Genomic DNA, 17,447 nt, shown 5'->3' on the forward strand with positions numbered 1-17,447 from the left:
GGTGTATGCCAGCATGCCTGGCTAATTTTGTTTATTTTGTATGGAGATGAGGTCACACCATTGCCCAGACTGGTCTCGAACTCCTGGACTCAAGCAATCCTCCTGCCTCAGCCTCCCAAAGTGCTGGGATTACAGGCATGAGCCACCACACCTGGCCTTATATTCAACTTCTTAATCTACCTGGAGTTCATGTTTGTGTGTGCTGTGGGATGAGACCAAACTTTCATTTTTTCGAATTAATATCCAGTGGTCCCAACACCATTCCTTGCAAGATTTATCCTTTCCCCACTAGTTTGGGGCCTGCCTTTATCATCCACATGGATCTGTTTCTAGGTGCCTCCTCTGTTTCATGAGCCCTTTTGTCCTTTCCTGTGCCAATATTGCATTGCCTTAATTACTCCACTGCATTGTTCCAAAGCTGGCATTTTGGCCCCAAACAGAAATGAGGCTGCCAAAAAAAATAATTATTCCTCCCTCTGGAAGATTGATGCATTTCTTTCCCATCCGGGCTTCATCTTAGCCTCCCAAGAGTCCACTGAGGTCATGAGCCCCGGGAAAATGACTAGCCCTGCCTTACAGATGTAGACCCAAGGTTCAGAGAGTTTAAGTAATTCACCCAGTTCTTGCAGGACGTCAAAGGCAGAGTCCAAGTAGAACCCCAGCCTCCTGGCTCCCTTGCGGGGCTTCTTCTGAGTGGTGCCCCCTACCCCCACCCAGCCCCTGTGATGTGCAGCCCTCACGTGCCCCAACCCTGCACATGCTCCCTTCCACAGTATCTTTGTGTTGGCAGAAAGTGAGCCCCTTGTTTCTGTGAGCCACCTCCCTTTCATCGGTCACTCTAGGCGTGATTAAACCCACACAATACAAGCCTGTGCCCGACGAAGAACCAAATTCAACAGACGTAGAGGAAACGCTGGAACGGATAAAGAACAACGACCCAAAACTTGAAGAAGTTAACCTCAATAATATCCGGGTAAGGTCCATTTATTTCACTTTACCTGTGTGTGGCTGGGGGAGGGGGAACCATGTCACCCAAATGCAAACGGTCCAGGGTTGGTTGTGCAGAGTAAACAGGGTCCTGTTTGGATTCTGGGTGTTTCTGCATTGGGAATAGGGACAAAACCTTTGCAAATGGGAGCCTTTAAGAGGGGTGGGCAGTGTAAACAAGTGCATCTGGCAGTCCTGGTTTCTTTCTGAGGATGATATCAGGCCCAGATGTTTAGCACGGGCCAACCCAGCTTTGATCTGGAAACCTGCCACGTTATTCAAAACACTGAGAGATTCTCCGAGATAAAATCATGAGTCAGACACACGCTGCTGCATGGGATCTCAAGGCTGGAAAAGTCCGGTGCCCACTAGGCTCGGGGGTAACACAGGCCCTGGGCAGGCCCCTCCCCTGTGCCATCGCTGCTGCTATATCACGTTCATATTCAGCCTTGTTTTACAGCCACAGAAGGGAGCTGTTGGCCAAAATGTCCAAAGCGATATCCCAAGCTGTCTGCCCTTTTCTCTGTGCACATTTCCTTATGTGATCCCGGGGCAGGGGAGGGACAGGTGGACAGGCAGTCTCACCCTGAACAGGCCGCCGCAGGAAGAATTCAGAGACAAATGCAGCTTTCTACCCACCTGCTGAGCCCAGAGACCAGTGGATTAGTTCTGGGAGGGGGGTGGGGGTAAGACTAGAAGCCAGCCCCCCATGCCCCTGCTCCACTTTCTTTCCTTCTCCACTTTATTTTAAGCAGCTGCCAGCCCCACGGCACCATCAGATTGGAAACCTGCACCCTAGTGTTCACCCCCACCTGGCCTCCCCATGCTCTGCTCCCATGGGAGCTAAAGTGACGCTCTGAGAGATTGGTAAAAACACAGCCATGTTTTCTTTCATGTGCCCAGTAGGAGACATTGGCACAATTCAGAATGCTGCCCACTGGCAGTGAATGCTGCCTCAGGGCCACATGAGGGATGGAATCTCCCTGTGAGGCCCCAGCCTCCTCTGGGCCTCAGTTTCTCCTCTGCACTGTGAGCCTGTTGGACCAGATCAGTGGTTTTCACCTGAGAAGATTAAAAAATATATACCAACGCCCAGGCCTGACCCTAGAGATTCTGATTCTATTGTTCTGGGCCGGCCCAAGCATCACCATTTTGTAAAAGTTCCCCAGGAGTCTCTGATGTGCCGCTGGAGCAGAGACCCCCTGGGGTAGATGTCTCTTAAAGAGTATCATATGCAACCCCCTTACCTGTTTTCCAGAAACAGGGCCAGAGAGGGCAGGAGGCTTCCACAGAGACACCTAGCAAGTCAGGAACATTGCCGATCATTGGGACCAAGGCCAGGTTCCAGCCCCTCTCACACCCCTAGTCCTAGCTCTTTGCACAATACTACACGCCTTAATTTTTGCCTCTTCTCTGGCCCCCAAGTGCACAAAGAAAGAGGTTACAGGTCTTATCTGAAATTTTCAGGGAGGATTTTCTAAATCTGTTTACCAGAAAGTTCTCCCCAGATTTCAGTCGTCCGGGACAAAGCCTAAACCTTTTGCCCATTCAGCTTTTTGGCCAGAGACTTGCCAGGAATCAGAGAGTAGCCAGGCTAATCCACCTGCCTCAGCCTGTCCCAGAGGAGGCTTCTGGTCACTCTCTCTGTTGCCTTTCTTTGTGCAGAATATCCCCATCCCCACCCTCAAGGCATATGCAGAAGCCCTGAAAGAAAACTCATATGTGAAGAAGTTCAGCATCGTGGGGACACGGAGTAATGACCCCGTGGCGTATGTATGTACCTTTCTGTTCTGTTGCATTGTGGCTGGGGGCCTTGAAACAGAAGGGTTGAAATATGTGGCCTCAGGACTGGTTGTATCCCACTAACAAAGAGCTCTATGTGGTACAGTGGAAGGCATTGGACCAGGAGCCATGAGGGGTGTAGAGGGAACAGCCATCACCTGGCACCACCTACACGTCATCCTGGCCAATCCTCACACCCACTTCTGGTCTCAGATGTGCAGTTCTCCCCACTTTGCACTTAAAAAATCTAGGGTTCGGAGAGGTCAGGCAACTTGTTTTGTCCAGTCACACAGCAAGTGAGAGGTGGACCTGCAAGTCCAGTGCAGTCACGTGACCCCTAAATCTTCACTCGGCACATCATATTAGAACAAGAGCCTGCCCTTCCCTGTTCCTCAGTTTTTCCATCTCTAAAATCAATGGTTTTGGTTGGGCGCAGTGGCTCACACCTGCAATTCCAGCACTTTGGGAGGTCAAGACGGGTGGATCACTTGAGGTCAGAAGTTCGAGACCAGCCTGGCCAACATGGTGAAACCCCGTCTCTACTAAAAGTATAAAAATTACCTGGGCTTGGTGGTGCATGCCTGTAATCCCAGCTACTCGGGAGGCTGAAGCAGGAGAAGCACTTGAGCCCAGGAGGCGGAGGTTGTAGTGAGCCGAGATTGCACCACTATACTCCAGCTTGGGCGACAGAGCGAGGCTCCATCACAAAATAAATAAATAAATAAATAAAAATTTAAAAAAATAAAAATGATGGTTTCATCAGCAGGTCCCAATGACCAATTTTATTTTATAAGTCTCAAAAGATATTTCTGATCAAATTAAATTGTACTTACTCTGAAGTAGCCATCAACTCTTCTTTTTAAACATCCAGCACATATGTATTGAGAGTCTCTCTGTGCCCAACGCTGAATTAGGTTCTGGGAATACAATTGTGACCAGTCTCAGCTTCCACTTTCATAAAGATTCTGGTCCATTTGGCCAAGCAGACAACTAAAGGGTAACAGTACAGTGCAATTACTGCAAAGCTAGATTCCTGCAAGAAGGGCAGAAGCTAGTTTATCAGGGCTAGTAATTAACCATTTAGTAGCAATCGATTTTTTTCTGATTCTTAAAATAGGTAAGACAGTGTTCTTTCATATTTTTGAAATAATAGAAATAGCTCACAGTCTCTCATTGCTGTCAGTGGGGAACCTCTGGATTGATGACCTCTGACCTCAGATCTCCATGGTTCCTTGCCCATAGGAACACAGCTGGCAAAGCCACATGCCCTGTATGCTACTATGTCATGGGTCAGAAACCAAGCACATCCATTCTGGCCCTCAGCTCAGGTCCACAAATGTTTTTTGGGCATGGACTCTGCCAGACCAACAGCTGATATCAGCCTATGCACACCAGTATGCCCGTGTCAAACACTGAGATGCTTCTGGGCCAGTTGGTAAATCAGGCTGCCAGAGCTCTGTCAGGGCCCCCACCGCCTGCCCTAGCTTTTCTCCTGGCCCCGGTTCCTCCACTGGGACCCAGCATACAAGGAGTTAACACCTGGCAAGACAGGGCCTCCAGGACCTGCTCAGCCACCAGCATGTCCAGTTGGATCAGCCTAGCAGGTTGCCTACTGGTTGTTATTTTGATTTTTTTTATTAGATTTGATTAAGCCAGGCCAGGCCTTTCCTGGGAGCAGGAAGGTTCTGGTGGAAGACACAGAGAGGACTCTGGCTGGGTCCTTTCCCTCAGGAGGGCCAGCCAAGTCAGAGACAGACGCCATCATAGAGAAAGCTGACATGCCATCCCGGGGGCACACTGAAGTGAAGGGCACTGAGGAGGGGGCGATGATTTCAAAACAGAGGGCTTCCTGGGAGCTAGCCTCTCAGCAGGTCTCAGCAAGGCAGGGGCGACGGGGTAGGTATTCCTGGCTCGGAGCATCATTTTAGGCAGCAGGGCCCACCGATCAGTATGTCCTATCAGCTGCTGGTGTCTTTTTCCCTCCATGACGCATCGTTTCCACCAACTGCTAATTATCTCATTTCCTTCAGAGGCTCTGATTGTCATCTACACCCCCTGGCTGAGTTCCTCTGAAACGTGCTAGGGGCCACCTAAGCTCCTCTTCTCCAGTTTGCCCTGGTCACTTGCCCAGTGGGTGGTTTCCCAGGCTTCCCTCTTCTGCTCTGTAGTGCTCAGATGAAGAAAACCATGTCTCCATGGAATTTCCACAGGGCAATAAAGAGACAAGTGGGGAGTATGTACAGGAGGTTGAGGCTCCACTGGTCACTCAGTGAACAATGCCTGAGGGCCTATTATATGCTGGGTACTGTGGCCAACATGGGATAGATAGGATGCATTTTCAGCCCACCAGGAGTATATAGTCTAATAGCAGAGACAACACCAGTATGAAAACAACTCTGAACAGAGGAATCCAAGGTCCACAATGAGGGAAGTATGGCTCCATTCTATGAGGATTTGAGAGGGTAGGCTACAGCTAGCTGGGGAATGTCAGCAAGAGTTCTTGGAGAAAGAGACATTGAGAATGCCCTCGAAAGATGGGTAGAGCTTGGACAGGGAAGCAGAAAGGGAAGGGAATTCCAGGTGGGAGGGAAAGAAAGGGCAGAGACAAAGTGGGAAAGCACCGAGCAGGCATGGGGAGCTGCGAGTAGCCCCACTGAAGAGGAGCAGTGAGAGTTGATTCTGGACAGGGGAGTAGACCCAGGTCATAGAAGCTTTGCATGTAGGCTAAGCAGCATAGAATTCTCCTGTGGGGGATCAGGAGCCATGGCGGGTTGCAGGAGAGGAGAGACACAGTCAGAGTTGTGCTTGGTGAAGGACATGGTGGAGATCATCCTCCTGTTCCCCTAGGTGTCTTAGGATCTACCCAGAGGGGCCTCCAGCCTTGCTCGGGGTGACTCATGGGTATCCTTGCTTTCTCTTGTGCTTCAAGGCCCTTGCTGAGATGCTCAAGGAGAACAAGGTGTTGAAGACACTGAATGTGGAATCCAACTTCATTTCTGGAGCTGGGATTCTGCGCCTGGTAGAAGCCCTCCCATACAACACTTCTCTGGTGGAAATGAAAATTGACAACCAGGTGAGATGGGCAACGGTCTCCTCAGGTCTGTTACTACATGCAGCTCGCTGGCCTGCAGTGTTTCCCATGCTGCTGGATGGAGCTGAGAATGCTGATGATAGAAGCTCAGAGCCCAGCTTTGAGGGACCTCCAAGGTCCCTAAAGTTCACACCCTCTACCACGCTCACCTTCCTTCTTCATCGCTTCCACTACGTGCTCTTCCAGTTCTGATTGAGTCCCTCTCATGATGGGGGACACACTCCTTACCAACATCATCACTTCCATTCTTAGGCAATGAGAACATTCTTCCTTATATCCGGTAGAAGTCAGCTCCCCGTAAGTCCTGTTTGTTGGGCTTAGCTCTGTTCTCTGCTTCACTCAGGACATCTGTTGCACAGATCTCATGGACCACTAAGCTCTCCTTCTCCAGGTTAAAATTCCCAGTTTTCTTCATTCACCCCCATTCAATGCGGCTTTTGAATTTCCTCACCATTCACATTACTCTCTAGGCAATTCTAGTTTGTCTTTATTCTTATGGAGTTACTGTTTCTCTGTAACTTCTGTGGGTCAATCATTTTATCTGCGGGGCAACTCTTTCAGCTCTGACTTTCTAAGAGGATGCTAATAACAACATCTTACATGTTACATGTGTTGAGAGTGTACTGTGGACCAGGCTCTGAGATACACATCTTACATCCATCATCTTTGATCTTCACAACAACCCTACAGAATGTGGGTATCATCAGTCTCAGTTTTCAGAAAATAGTCCAGACAGGCCAAAGATAAGCCCCTTTTTCAGGGCCATAGGGTCAGCATTTAGGAAGCAGGATTTGAATCCAGGTCTCTTTGACTCTAAAACTCACACTTATTCCACTGCAGCATGTTGCTTTTGATGTTAAAATGCTTTCTTTTTTATGAATGGGGACTCAGTTTTTTTTTTTCCACTACATGAAAATTTTTGCTGAATGGTTGTATAAATGTATGCATGGGAAAAAGATTGGAATGAAATATTACAAAATTCTAAACAGTGGTTATACCTGAGTGAGACTATCACAAGTTTTTAACTTTTTTATTGTAAAACATGGCAAACATACAGAAAAGTGCATAAAACTTAAATGCACAGCTTAAGGAATCATAACAGGCATGTAACCCCTGTCCAGGTCAAGAAACGAAAACATTACCAACCTCCAGAAGACTTTGTCCCTTCCCAACCATAACCCTTTCAAAACCATTCACAACTTGCTCCCCACTCTCATGCCTCCATGCCTTTCCCTCCTCATGGAATGTCCTCCCCTGCCTCTACCCTCTTCTCTGCCTTCTGGGTTTAGTTGAAGTTTCACTTTATCTTAGTGGTGTTCTAGAGACAGCTTGAACCAGCTTGCAAGATCTGATTGTGGATATCTCTTCCTGAGACCAGCGATGGCACATTGGTGCCTTGAATTGCTCATGGTAGGTGGGAGTATTTACACTATGGAAATTGGCAAATTGGCACACCATGCATCAGGGCTTTTTTTTTTTCTTTGAGAGCCAGGTTACTACTGTCTTCTCCCACTAGTCTGCCATAGCTCCTCCAAACCTCTGCCCAAAGAGAGTTAGATACCTCTTCCTCTGGGCTCCCCTAGCACCTTGGCTTCCCTTGAGCTTCCCAGAAGCTGGTGCTATGTCTGAGGCATCTCCTTATCTCAGTGCCCAGCTCAGGACCTGGCCCTTCAGGAGTGCCTGGTAAGTAAGTTTGCCCTGGATGGTCGTGCATATTGTTCACAGCACAATGAGGTAGCAGAGAGCAAAATTCAACCCAGAATCCACTCTCCAAGCTGTGTGCCTCAGTATGGGGCTTTGTTCACCCAGAGAGGGCACTTTTTTCTAATTTATATAAAGCAGTCACATGAGCTGGCAGCAGCCGTGTCACGTGCATTTCCTGCATTGGACTCCTTGCATCTCTCGCATGCCGGTGGTCTTGCTGCTGCCTCGCTCATTCTCAGGCCCTCCCCACCCCTACCCCTTCTGCGCCCTCCCTTAGCCATTGCTGACTGTGCTCCACTGGAGGCAAGAGGGGCAGAGCAGATGGAACAAAGGCATGCAGCAGGCTTGGCAGTGGCCCTGGGCCAGGCCCTGGGATTGGCTACTCATGTGAATCCCAGCCTGGCCTGGCAGGAAGTCAGGGTCTACCCAGAGTCAGCTGAAACTTAACTCCCAGGGCAGAATGTCAGCAAAAGAGGACTGGGAGCAGGTCACTGTGGTGGCAGCTGCCAGGGAGTTGCCCCTTCCCTCCACACACTATCCCCCCAGAGTCCAAGATGGAGCCCATGCTAACCATTGCCCTTACCTTAGCTGAATACCCTGGTTCAAAAACATTTACTTCCCTGAGCCTCCGTTTCCTGGCTTGTAAAATGAGGATTATAAGAATCTCTGCTCCTAAGGAGATAACAGATGTAAACTCTGAAGTTGTTAACTTTTAGAATCACTGGGAAGGTGAACTAGGGGATTCACATGCTATTCTAAGAGTTAATTTCCTGAGCAGGTATCATGTGCCAAAACCATACTGGGTACTTTGTGTCTATTATCTAATTTAATGTTCACAAAGACTCTGTAAGTGGCATTACAACCCATCCCTGTATCACAGATGAGGAAACGGAGTGCCAGGCAGGCTATGCAACCTGCCCAAGGCCACACAAGAAGCAAGAGGGGCAAGATTCAAACCCAGGTCTGTGTGACTCCAGAGTCCATGTATAATGCTATGCCTGTCTGGGTTCTTGAAGCAGCTGTGGTTTCATGTGATGTCAGCCTGGCTTTTCTCATCTGTCCTCTGGCCTGGGGCCTGAGCACTGGTCAGCACCACCCGCCATCCAGTGAGCCTCTTCTTTGGTTCATCTTGACATTTTGATGAATGCTGGCTGCTTGCCAGGACTGTGCTGGGCTGTGTGCAGGACTGAGGCTCCAGGTCCACCCTCCAGAAGTTTCCTCACTGGATGGGAGGAAAGATGGTTGCAGAAATGACCATCATACCAGGTGCTCCAGCAGCCAGACAGTGGGCTGTGAGGTCCATCAGAGGGAGCAGTCTTAGTCAGGAATAGCAATCAGGGAGGGTTGCTTGGAGGAGGCAGATTTTGAGATAAACCCGTAGATGCTGGGTAGACCCTGACTTCCCACCCACAGGGTGAAAAGTATCTCAGGTGACATGGAGGCCATGGCATCCCAGGTGCAGAGAGGAGTGGGGAAAGCCATGGAGCCCATCCACACAGGCTCACGGTACCCCCAGAGGAAAGCCAGAAAGGGGGTTAGGAGTCGGAGAGCTTTGAATGGGTAGGTTTAGGGAAAGTGGGCTGTGCTGTGCTCTGGGAAGATGGTTCTGGCTGGATGGGAGGGGACTGGGGGCAAGGAGAGGGTATCAGGGCCCAGGAGATCAGCCAGGAGCTATGGCCTCCAGGACCAGGGGGCTGTGGGGAGGCGCTCCTGCCTAACTGGAGTTGGGTCCGGCAGGGGAAGGGCTGAAGGCAGGTCTCAGGGAGGGGGCTCTGCTGACTCAGGCTCAGGAGGAGGCCACCTGTGCCTCCCCTTCAGGTGCCCCAGCCCCAGGCTGGGGGGAGGCAGGGCAGTGTGACACAGAGGAGGTGGCGAGTGGCATTTGATTTATTCCTTTATTCCTCATTCCTGGTTAGTCACCGAGGTCCTTGGAGACGGGAGCTTTTTCCTCAGTCCTGTGCTTATAACCTGTGGCAGCAAGTCTCTGTCCTTCTTTCTCCTTATACGGCCAGGGAAAGGGACTTGGGGAGTTCTGCCCAGGGTGACACGGAGCTGGCTCAGGACACAGTTTGGGAACCAGGACTTTGAAGCTGTTTGTTGACTCAAATAGTCTCTCTATCTCCAAGCAATGTTCTGTTGCCACCTGTGGTTGCGCCAAGACCATGGTGAATTGGGAAAGGGCAGAGCAGACCCCAGAGCCAGAAGGCACTGAGACAACATCTAGCCCAGTCCTCCTTTCACAAGCGGGGAAACTGAGGATGAGAGAAGGGATGGGACTAGCCTGAGGCCACAGGCCAGGTTAGTGGCAGAGCTCGGTTGGAGCTGCAGTATCCTGGCTGCACTGATGGATGGATGGGAGAAACCCTGTGGGCCCCGAGGGAGCCTGCAGGCCCGGCCCAGGCCAAGCAGGCCATCTCCACACACGGCTTCTGTGCTGCTCTCACCAAACTCTCCAAACTCCCCACAGAGCTGCTCTTCCCCAGGACCCCCAGGGCACCAGGGACCCTGCTCCCCAGGCCAGACAAGGCCTGGGGTGAGTCCCACAAATGAGAATATGTATAATGTCTGGGGTAGTGGCCAGATTCCCCACTTTTTATTCCAATATTTGACAATGAGGATGTGCTTAATATTTTGAAGAGAAGTTAAAGTAGATGGATTGTGCTGTCTTGTTTTCCCAGATTGGATGATTTGTGTCTGGCTTTTTTTACTCAACGTTGCGATTGTATCAGTTTTTTGTAGCTGTGTAACAAATTATCCCCAAATATAGCAACTTAAACAGCCTCAGAATCCTGGCATAAAACAATAAACATGTATTAACTCACCATTTCTGAGGGCCAGGAATCCAGGAGCAGTGTGGCTGGCTGACTTCGCCCAGAGTGCATGATCTGAGGTGGAGAAACTGCTTCCACCATGGCTCCCTCACAGCGTGGGCAGGAGACCTCAGCACCTTACCGTGTGCACCCGGCCTAGGGCTGTTGGAGTGTCCTCACAATATGGCAGCTAACTTCTCCCAGAGTGAGTGAGCCAAGTCAGAGAAAAAAGAAAGCCTCAGATGCCTTTTATGACCCAGCCTCGGAAGTTACACAAAGTCATTTCCACCATATTCTGTTTATTAAAAGTGAGTCACAAAGCACAACCCACACTCAAGGGGAGAGAAATCAGACACCACTTTTTGGAGGGGGGAGGATCAAAGAATTTTGCAGATATTAAGTCATCACAGTAAGAATTATCTATATTATTTTGTGTCACAGGAGTTGACCAGAAAGACCTCTGTAACTGAGAGGTGACAGCATGCTGGCAGCCCTCACAGCCCTCCCTCGCTCTCGGCGCCTCCTCAGCCTTGGCGCCCACTCTGGCCGCGCTTGTGGAGCCCTTCAGCCCGCCGCTGCACTGTGGGAGCCCCTTTCTGGGCTGGGCAAGGCCAGAGCCGGCTCCCTCAGCTTGCGGGGAGGTGTGGAGGGAGAGGCGCCGGCGGGAACCAGGGCTGTGCGCGGCGCTTGCGGGCCAGCGCGTGTTCCGGGTGGGCGTGCTCTCGGCGGGCCCCGCACTCGGAGCGGCCGGCCGACCCCGCCGGCTCCGGGCAGTGAGGGGCTTAGCACCTGGGCCAGCAGCTGCTGTGCTCGACTTCTCGCCGGGCCTTAGCTGCCTCCCCACGGGGCAGGGCTCGGGACCTGCAGCCCGCCATGCCTGAGCTTCCCCCACGCCGTGGTCTCCTGAGCGGCCCGAACCTCCCCGACAAGCGCCGCCCCCTGCTCCACGGCGCCCAGTCCCATCAACCACCCAAGGGCTGAGGAGTGCGGGCGCAGGGCGCGGGACTGGCAGGCAGCTCCACCTGCGGCCCCGGTGCAGGATCCACTGGGTGAAGCCAGCTGGGCTCCTGAGTCTGGTGGGGACTTGGAGAATCTTTATGTCTGGCTAAGGGATGGCAAATCCACCAATCAGCACTCTGTATCTAGCTCAAGGTTTGTAAACACACCAATCAGCACCCTGTGTCTAGCTCAGGGTTTGCAAATGCACCAATTGACACCTGTATCTAGCTACTCTGGTGGGGACATGGAGAACTTTTGTGTCCACACTCTGTATCTAGCTAATCTAGTGGGGAGGTGGAGAACTTTTGTGTCTAGCTCAGGGATTGTAAACGCACCAGTCAGCACCCTGTCAAAACAGACCAACCAGCTCTCTATAAAATGGACCAGTCGGCTCTCTGTAAAATGGACCAATCAGCAGGATATGGGTGGGGCCAGATAAGAGAATAAAAGCAGGCTGCCGGATAACGCAGTGGCAACCCGCTCGGGTCCACTTCCGCACTGTGGAAACTTTGTTCTTTCTCTGTTTGCCATAAATCTTGCCACTGCTCACTCTTTGGGTCCACACTGCCTTTATGAGTTGTAACACTCACCGCGAAGGTCTGCAGCTTCACTCCTGAAGCCATCGAGACCACGAACCCACTGGGAGGAACAAACAACTCCAGAGGCTCCGCCTTAAGAGCTGTAACACTCACCGCGAAGGCCTGCAGCTTCACTCCTGATCCAGGAGACCACAAACCCACCGGAAGGAAGAAACTCCTAACACATCCGAACATCAGAAGGAACAAACTCCGGACACACCGCCTTTAAGAACTATAACACTCACCTCGAGGGTCCGCGGCTTCATTCTTGCAGTCAGTGAGACCAAGAACCCACCAATTCCGGACACATAACTAGCAAAGCTACCTCAGGATGGAGCAGGTATCTCAAAGGGGGAGGAGTTCCCATCCTGGGGGTGTGTAAACAGCTGGGAGATGGAGGGAATTTTAATGTCAGTTAGGGTCTGGGACTCTGGAGTTGGATAACCTAATTCCCAGGCCTCCTTTCTGTTGTGTTTTGAAGTATTCCCAGTTGTCCATATCATCTGGGAATGGCCAGAATTGGCTCCGTCAAATGTCCAAAGTGAGATTCTTGATGTTCCTGTTGCGTCTGGCCAGAAAGGGAGCCTCAGAGCCACCGGCTCCAGGATACACCTTGTAACACCTAAGGTGTTGGTTGGTAATTTTGTTCAAGAGCAAATCTGATCTCTTTCTCATCTGATGGGTAATGCTCTGACATGGTAAAGGTGTGAGGACACACAGCTGTCACACACTGCTGAAGGGCATGCCGACTTTTACATCCTTTTGTCAGAGCAGTCTCAATTTTAATTTGAAAGCGCCTATCTTTCAACCTAGCAGTTTTGATTTCCGTAGGAAGCCTGAGGAATACCCCCTCCCTCCCCTGCCACTGCCACGTTGTTCGTAACACGAAAAAACAGAAGTAACCTAAATATCCATCTACACCAGGGCGTCCCGTGAAGCCAATAGAAGGAATAAGGTCATTCTCTACATACTGACTCTGAAAGAGCTCTGCAAAATATTAAATGAAAAAGGTGGGCTAGGCATGACAGCTCATGCCTGTAATCCCAGCACTTTGGGAGGCCAAGGAGGGAGCTCACTAGAGACCAGGAGTTCAAGACCAGCCTGGTCAACATAGCAAGACCCCATCTCTGTAAAAAAAAGTAAAGGAAATTAGCCAGACATGGTGGCACGTGCCTGTAGTCCTAGCTACTTGGGAGGCTGAGCAGGAGGATCACTTGAGCCCAGGAGTCAGAAGCTGTAGTGAGCTATGATTGCACTGCTTTGTGCTGCTGCACTCTAGCCTGGGCAACAGAGTGAGACACAGTCTCCAAAAAAATAAATAAATAAATATTAAAATAAAATGAAAAAGGCAAGTTGCAGAACAGTAAGTATAGTATGAATTCATTTAAACAAGAAACAAGTACCACAAAACAAAACAAATCCCTGTACATTTCTGTCATATACTTCATGCATAGAAACACAACTCATTGGCCATGATGGTTACTTTTTTTTTTTTTTCTTTTTTTGAGACGGAGTCTTGCTCTGTTGCCCAGGCTGGAGTGCAGTGGCACGATCTCGGCTCACTGCAAGCTCCGCCTCCCAGGTTCACGCCATTCTCCTACCTCAGCCTCCCGAGTAGCTGGGACTACAGGTGCCCGCCACCACGTCCAGCTAATTTTTTTTTTTGTATTTTTTAGTAGAGACCGGGTTTCACCATGTTAGCCAGGATGGTCTCGATCTCCTGACCTTGTGATCCGCCCACCTCGGCCTCCCAAATTGCTGGGATTACAGGCGTGAGCCATCGCGCCTGGCCCATGGTGGTTACTTCTACGGAAGGGGGTGGGACTGGGAATAAATCGGGTGAGGGAGACTCTTTCCTTTTACTCAATCTGTGTTAATATCATATGAATTGTTAATAATGTGGTTATATTTATTCACAAGTGGTTTTTTACTTCTCAAGCAAATCTGAAGGAGTATGAGAGTTCTTTCCCAACCATCCTGTCCCTGGCTCTGCTGCCCAGAGACTGTTGCCAGTCCGGGCATGACCAACCCCTTGGTCTCTCCCCCTTTACACACTTTCAGGCACAGGCAGCTCACTACCTTACCAGGCAGTTCCTCAGCGTGTGGACACTTCTAATGGTCAGAGGCATTCCTCCATGCTGAGCCAAACACCATCTGCGTGTAGTTCCTCTCGTCAGTCCTACTTCTGCCTTCTGGTCATTCTCAGAGGCACTTAAGTGAGGTGGAAACCAGCACAGACTCTAGAGCTCGCTGCCTGTATTCAAATCCTGGTCCTGCAACTGACCCATGCTAGGATTTGGGAAAAATTTCTTAATACTTCTGTGCTTCAATTTTTTTTGCCTATAAAATGAAAATAATGAGGATGGGCATAGTGGCTCATGCCTGTAACCCAGCACTTTGGGAGGCTGAGGTGGGTGGATCACTTGAGGTCAGGAGTTCAAGACCAGCCTGGCCAACATGGTAAAACCCCATCTCTACTAAAAATACAAAAATTAGCTGGGCGTGGTGGTGCTACTCAGGAGGCTGAGGCAGGAGCATCGCTTGAACCCAGAAGGCAGAGGTTGCAGCAAGCCAAGATCGTGCTATGCACTCCAGTCTGGGCGACAGAACAAGACTCCATCTCAAAAAATAACATAAAATAAAATAAAATGAAAATAACGATAGTAGTTTTCCTTAGATTGACAGGAAAAATTCCTTAGATTGATAGGAAAAAATGAATTAGCTTTTGTAAAATGTTTATGACATTGTTTAGCATGCAGTAATCACTAAATAAGTTACTTGAAAAATAAGTCAGAGAACTGGTTTTTAGTCGTGGCTCCCCAGCCACTGGTTCTCTCTTCTATAAAATGAATGAGTCCTTTTAGTCTCAGGGTCCCCGGAGTCAGAGAAAGATGCAGGTATGAAGCTTCTTTGACATCTCTTTTTTTGGAGACAGAGTCTCACTCTGTCACCAGGCTGGAGTACAGTGGCATGATCTCAGCTCACTGCAAACTCCGCCTCCCTGGTTCAAGCAATTCTCCTGCCTCAGCTTCCCAAGTAACTGGGACTACAGGTGCGCTCCACCATGCCCAGATAATTTTTGTATTTTTAGTAGAGATGGGGTTTACCATGTTGGCCAGGATGGTCTCGATCTCCTGACCTCGTGATCCGCCCGCCTCGGCCTCCCAAAGTGCTGGGATTACAGGCGTGAGCCACCGTGCCCGGCCGAAGCTTCTTTGACATCTTAAGGCTTACTGTAAGGTGTATGCACGTGTTCTATTTTACTCCTTAATGTAAAAAGAATGGGTTTGCTCTGAGATGAACACTCCTGGAAGATCATGATTATCTAATGGAATCCTGTACCTTGTCGCACATGCCCAGACACATCTGTGTGTATCTAGGGTACTGGACACTAATGTGAGAACTGGGCCTAGAGGAACCTGGGGCAGTCCTTTCAGCCCCAGGTCAAGGTCAAGCCTTGGCTCTGTCATGAATAAGCCGAGGGAGCATGGTCCAACTTCCATCTACACATGGATTCAGTATACTCATCTCTAAGATGCAGATGCTGGCTCCTGCCTGCCCTGCTCACCTCCCAGGGATGTAGACAGGTCGAATGGGGGCAATGCATGTTAAGGGGCTTTGTACTCTGCACGAAGCATCAGCTTTGCAGAGGCAGTCCTCGAAGTCCCTGGTAGCCCCTTCACTCAGGGGAGACCAGTACTTTCTGAGACTAGCCCATCCTGAGTTTTAGCAGGGCATTTGCAGCAAGAGACCTCAAGGAGAGGCCAGGGTTCCTGCTAACTGGGGAGGGTGGGTGGAGGAGCTGCCAGTTCCTTCTTGGGGCCTCAGATGGTTGCTGTGCCATCTCCAGGCCAAAACGGCCAGATTCCAGGGCTGTGCTGAGTCCTCCAAGGACCGACCTGACCTCTTCCCAGCATTCTCAGGAGCCTTGCCAGAGGGGCCGGTGGAATTTCACCAGTGTCCCTCTGCCTGCCGTGGCCAGCTTTCTGAGCCCAGTCTGAACCCAGATGAGCTCTGGTGAACTCAGAATACCTGGGGGGAGTTCTCAATCAAGAGTCTCAGCTGCAATTCGTGCTTGTCCATTTGGATGCTGGGCTGACGTCGCCTCTATCCCTCCCAAGCATGTTCCTGTTTCCTCCATTCAATTCAATTCTGCACACCTCGACCGAGAGAAACTGGGTACTATGTCCTACCCGAGAGCTCATGGTCTACAGCAGCACTGTTCAATAGAACTTCCTGTGATGATGGAACTGTTCCATATCTGCATTAACCAACATGGTAGTCTCCAGCCAGTGGCTATTTGTTTGCTGGTTTTTGTAGTGACGAGTTTTCTCTATGTTGCCTGCCCAGGTTGGTCTCAAACTCCTGGTCTCAAGTGATCCTCCTGCCTCAGCTTCCCAGAGTGCTGGGATTATAGGTGTGAGCCACTGTGCCCGGCTACCAGTGGCTATCAAGCACTAGAAATGTGGCTAATAGGACTGAGGAAATGAACTATACATCGTTTTCATTTTAATTATTTAGATGTATAGAGCAACATGTGGCTAGTAGCTACTGTAGCTACTGTATTGGACAATACCGTTCTAATTGGTGAGACAGCTATAGAGGCAGGTGACCCAAGTAAGGCAGATGGACTCTGCCAGGTGTAGGGAGGGACATCCAATGTGCACTTGAGTGTGGAATGGGGAGAGATCATTTCCTGGGGTCAGGATCAGGAAAAGCCTCTTGGGGAGGGGGAATTTGCAGTGCATATTAAGGCAATAGGGATATACTTACAGGGAGGCTAAAAGCATTCCACATGGAGGCACATGAGCTTTTTGGAGTAGATCTCTGTCTGCACCAGGTACCATTATCAGACTGCCAGAGATAAACAGGCCGAGTAAGGAAGGAGAGAGAGAAGGAAAGCAAAGAGTCATTTGTGAGCCTTGAGTACCAGGCTGAGGAGATGGGGCTGTGTCCTGTTGGCTTAGTGAGGGAATGAGCTGAGATCATGCAAGTGGGGCACGAGGCAGGGCCTGGGACACAGTAAATTGCAGCAGTTCTTGGCAGTGGGGAGCCATTAGAGGTGGTTGTGTATTTCTGTTTGGTTTCTATTTCTGGTTTTTAAATTATTATTATTAAACTTTTAAAATTTGGGGATAATTGCAGACTAGTATGCAGTTGTAAGAAATAATACAGAGGAGCCGAGTGCAGTGGCTCACACCTGTAATCCCAGCACTTTGGGAGGCCAAGACGGGTGGATCACTTGAGGCCGAGTTCGAGACCAGCCTGGCCAACATAGTGAAATCCCATCTCTACTAAAAACACAAAAAATTAGCTGAGTGTGGTGGCACATGCTTGTAGTCCCAGCTACTTGGGAGGCTGAGTCAGGAGAATCACTTGAACCTGGGAGGCAGAGGCTGCAGTGAGCCGAGATTGCACCACTACACTCCAGCCTGGGCAACAGAGTGAGACTCTGTCTCAGAAAAGAAAGAAAGAGAGGAAGGAAGGAGGGAAGGA

General features: G+C 50.1%; 1 protein-coding gene across 3 annotated transcripts in view, besides 1 other annotated feature; it reads left to right on the forward strand.

Annotated features, from left to right (window-relative positions):
* Positions 1 to 17,447, forward strand: part of TMOD1 (tropomodulin 1) — a 100,564-nt gene that overhangs the window by 62,016 nt on the left and 21,101 nt on the right. For all 3 annotated transcript variants that reach the window (NM_001166116.2, NM_003275.4, XM_047423825.1), the window contains 3 exons: positions 843 to 973; positions 2,653 to 2,760; positions 5,699 to 5,842. In NM_001166116.2, coding sequence (NP_001159588.1) covers positions 843 to 973; positions 2,653 to 2,760; positions 5,699 to 5,842 — 383 coding nt within the window. The remainder of the gene's footprint in view (positions 1 to 842; positions 974 to 2,652; positions 2,761 to 5,698; positions 5,843 to 17,447) is intronic.
* Positions 9,616 to 9,855: a silencer, noted in NCBI's record as "fragment chr9:100335093-100335332 (GRCh37/hg19 assembly coordinates)". NCBI's record gives its function as "represses an EF-1alpha promoter that drives an FKBP-Casp9 reporter gene in an ReSE screen in K562 erythroleukemia cells {active_cell/tissue: K562}" and the evidence as "EXISTENCE:reporter gene assay evidence [ECO:0000049][PMID:32094911]".

This window comes from Homo sapiens, chromosome 9 (assembly GCF_000001405.40).
Source record: "Homo sapiens chromosome 9, GRCh38.p14 Primary Assembly".
NCBI lineage: Eukaryota > Metazoa > Chordata > Mammalia > Primates > Hominidae > Homo > Homo sapiens.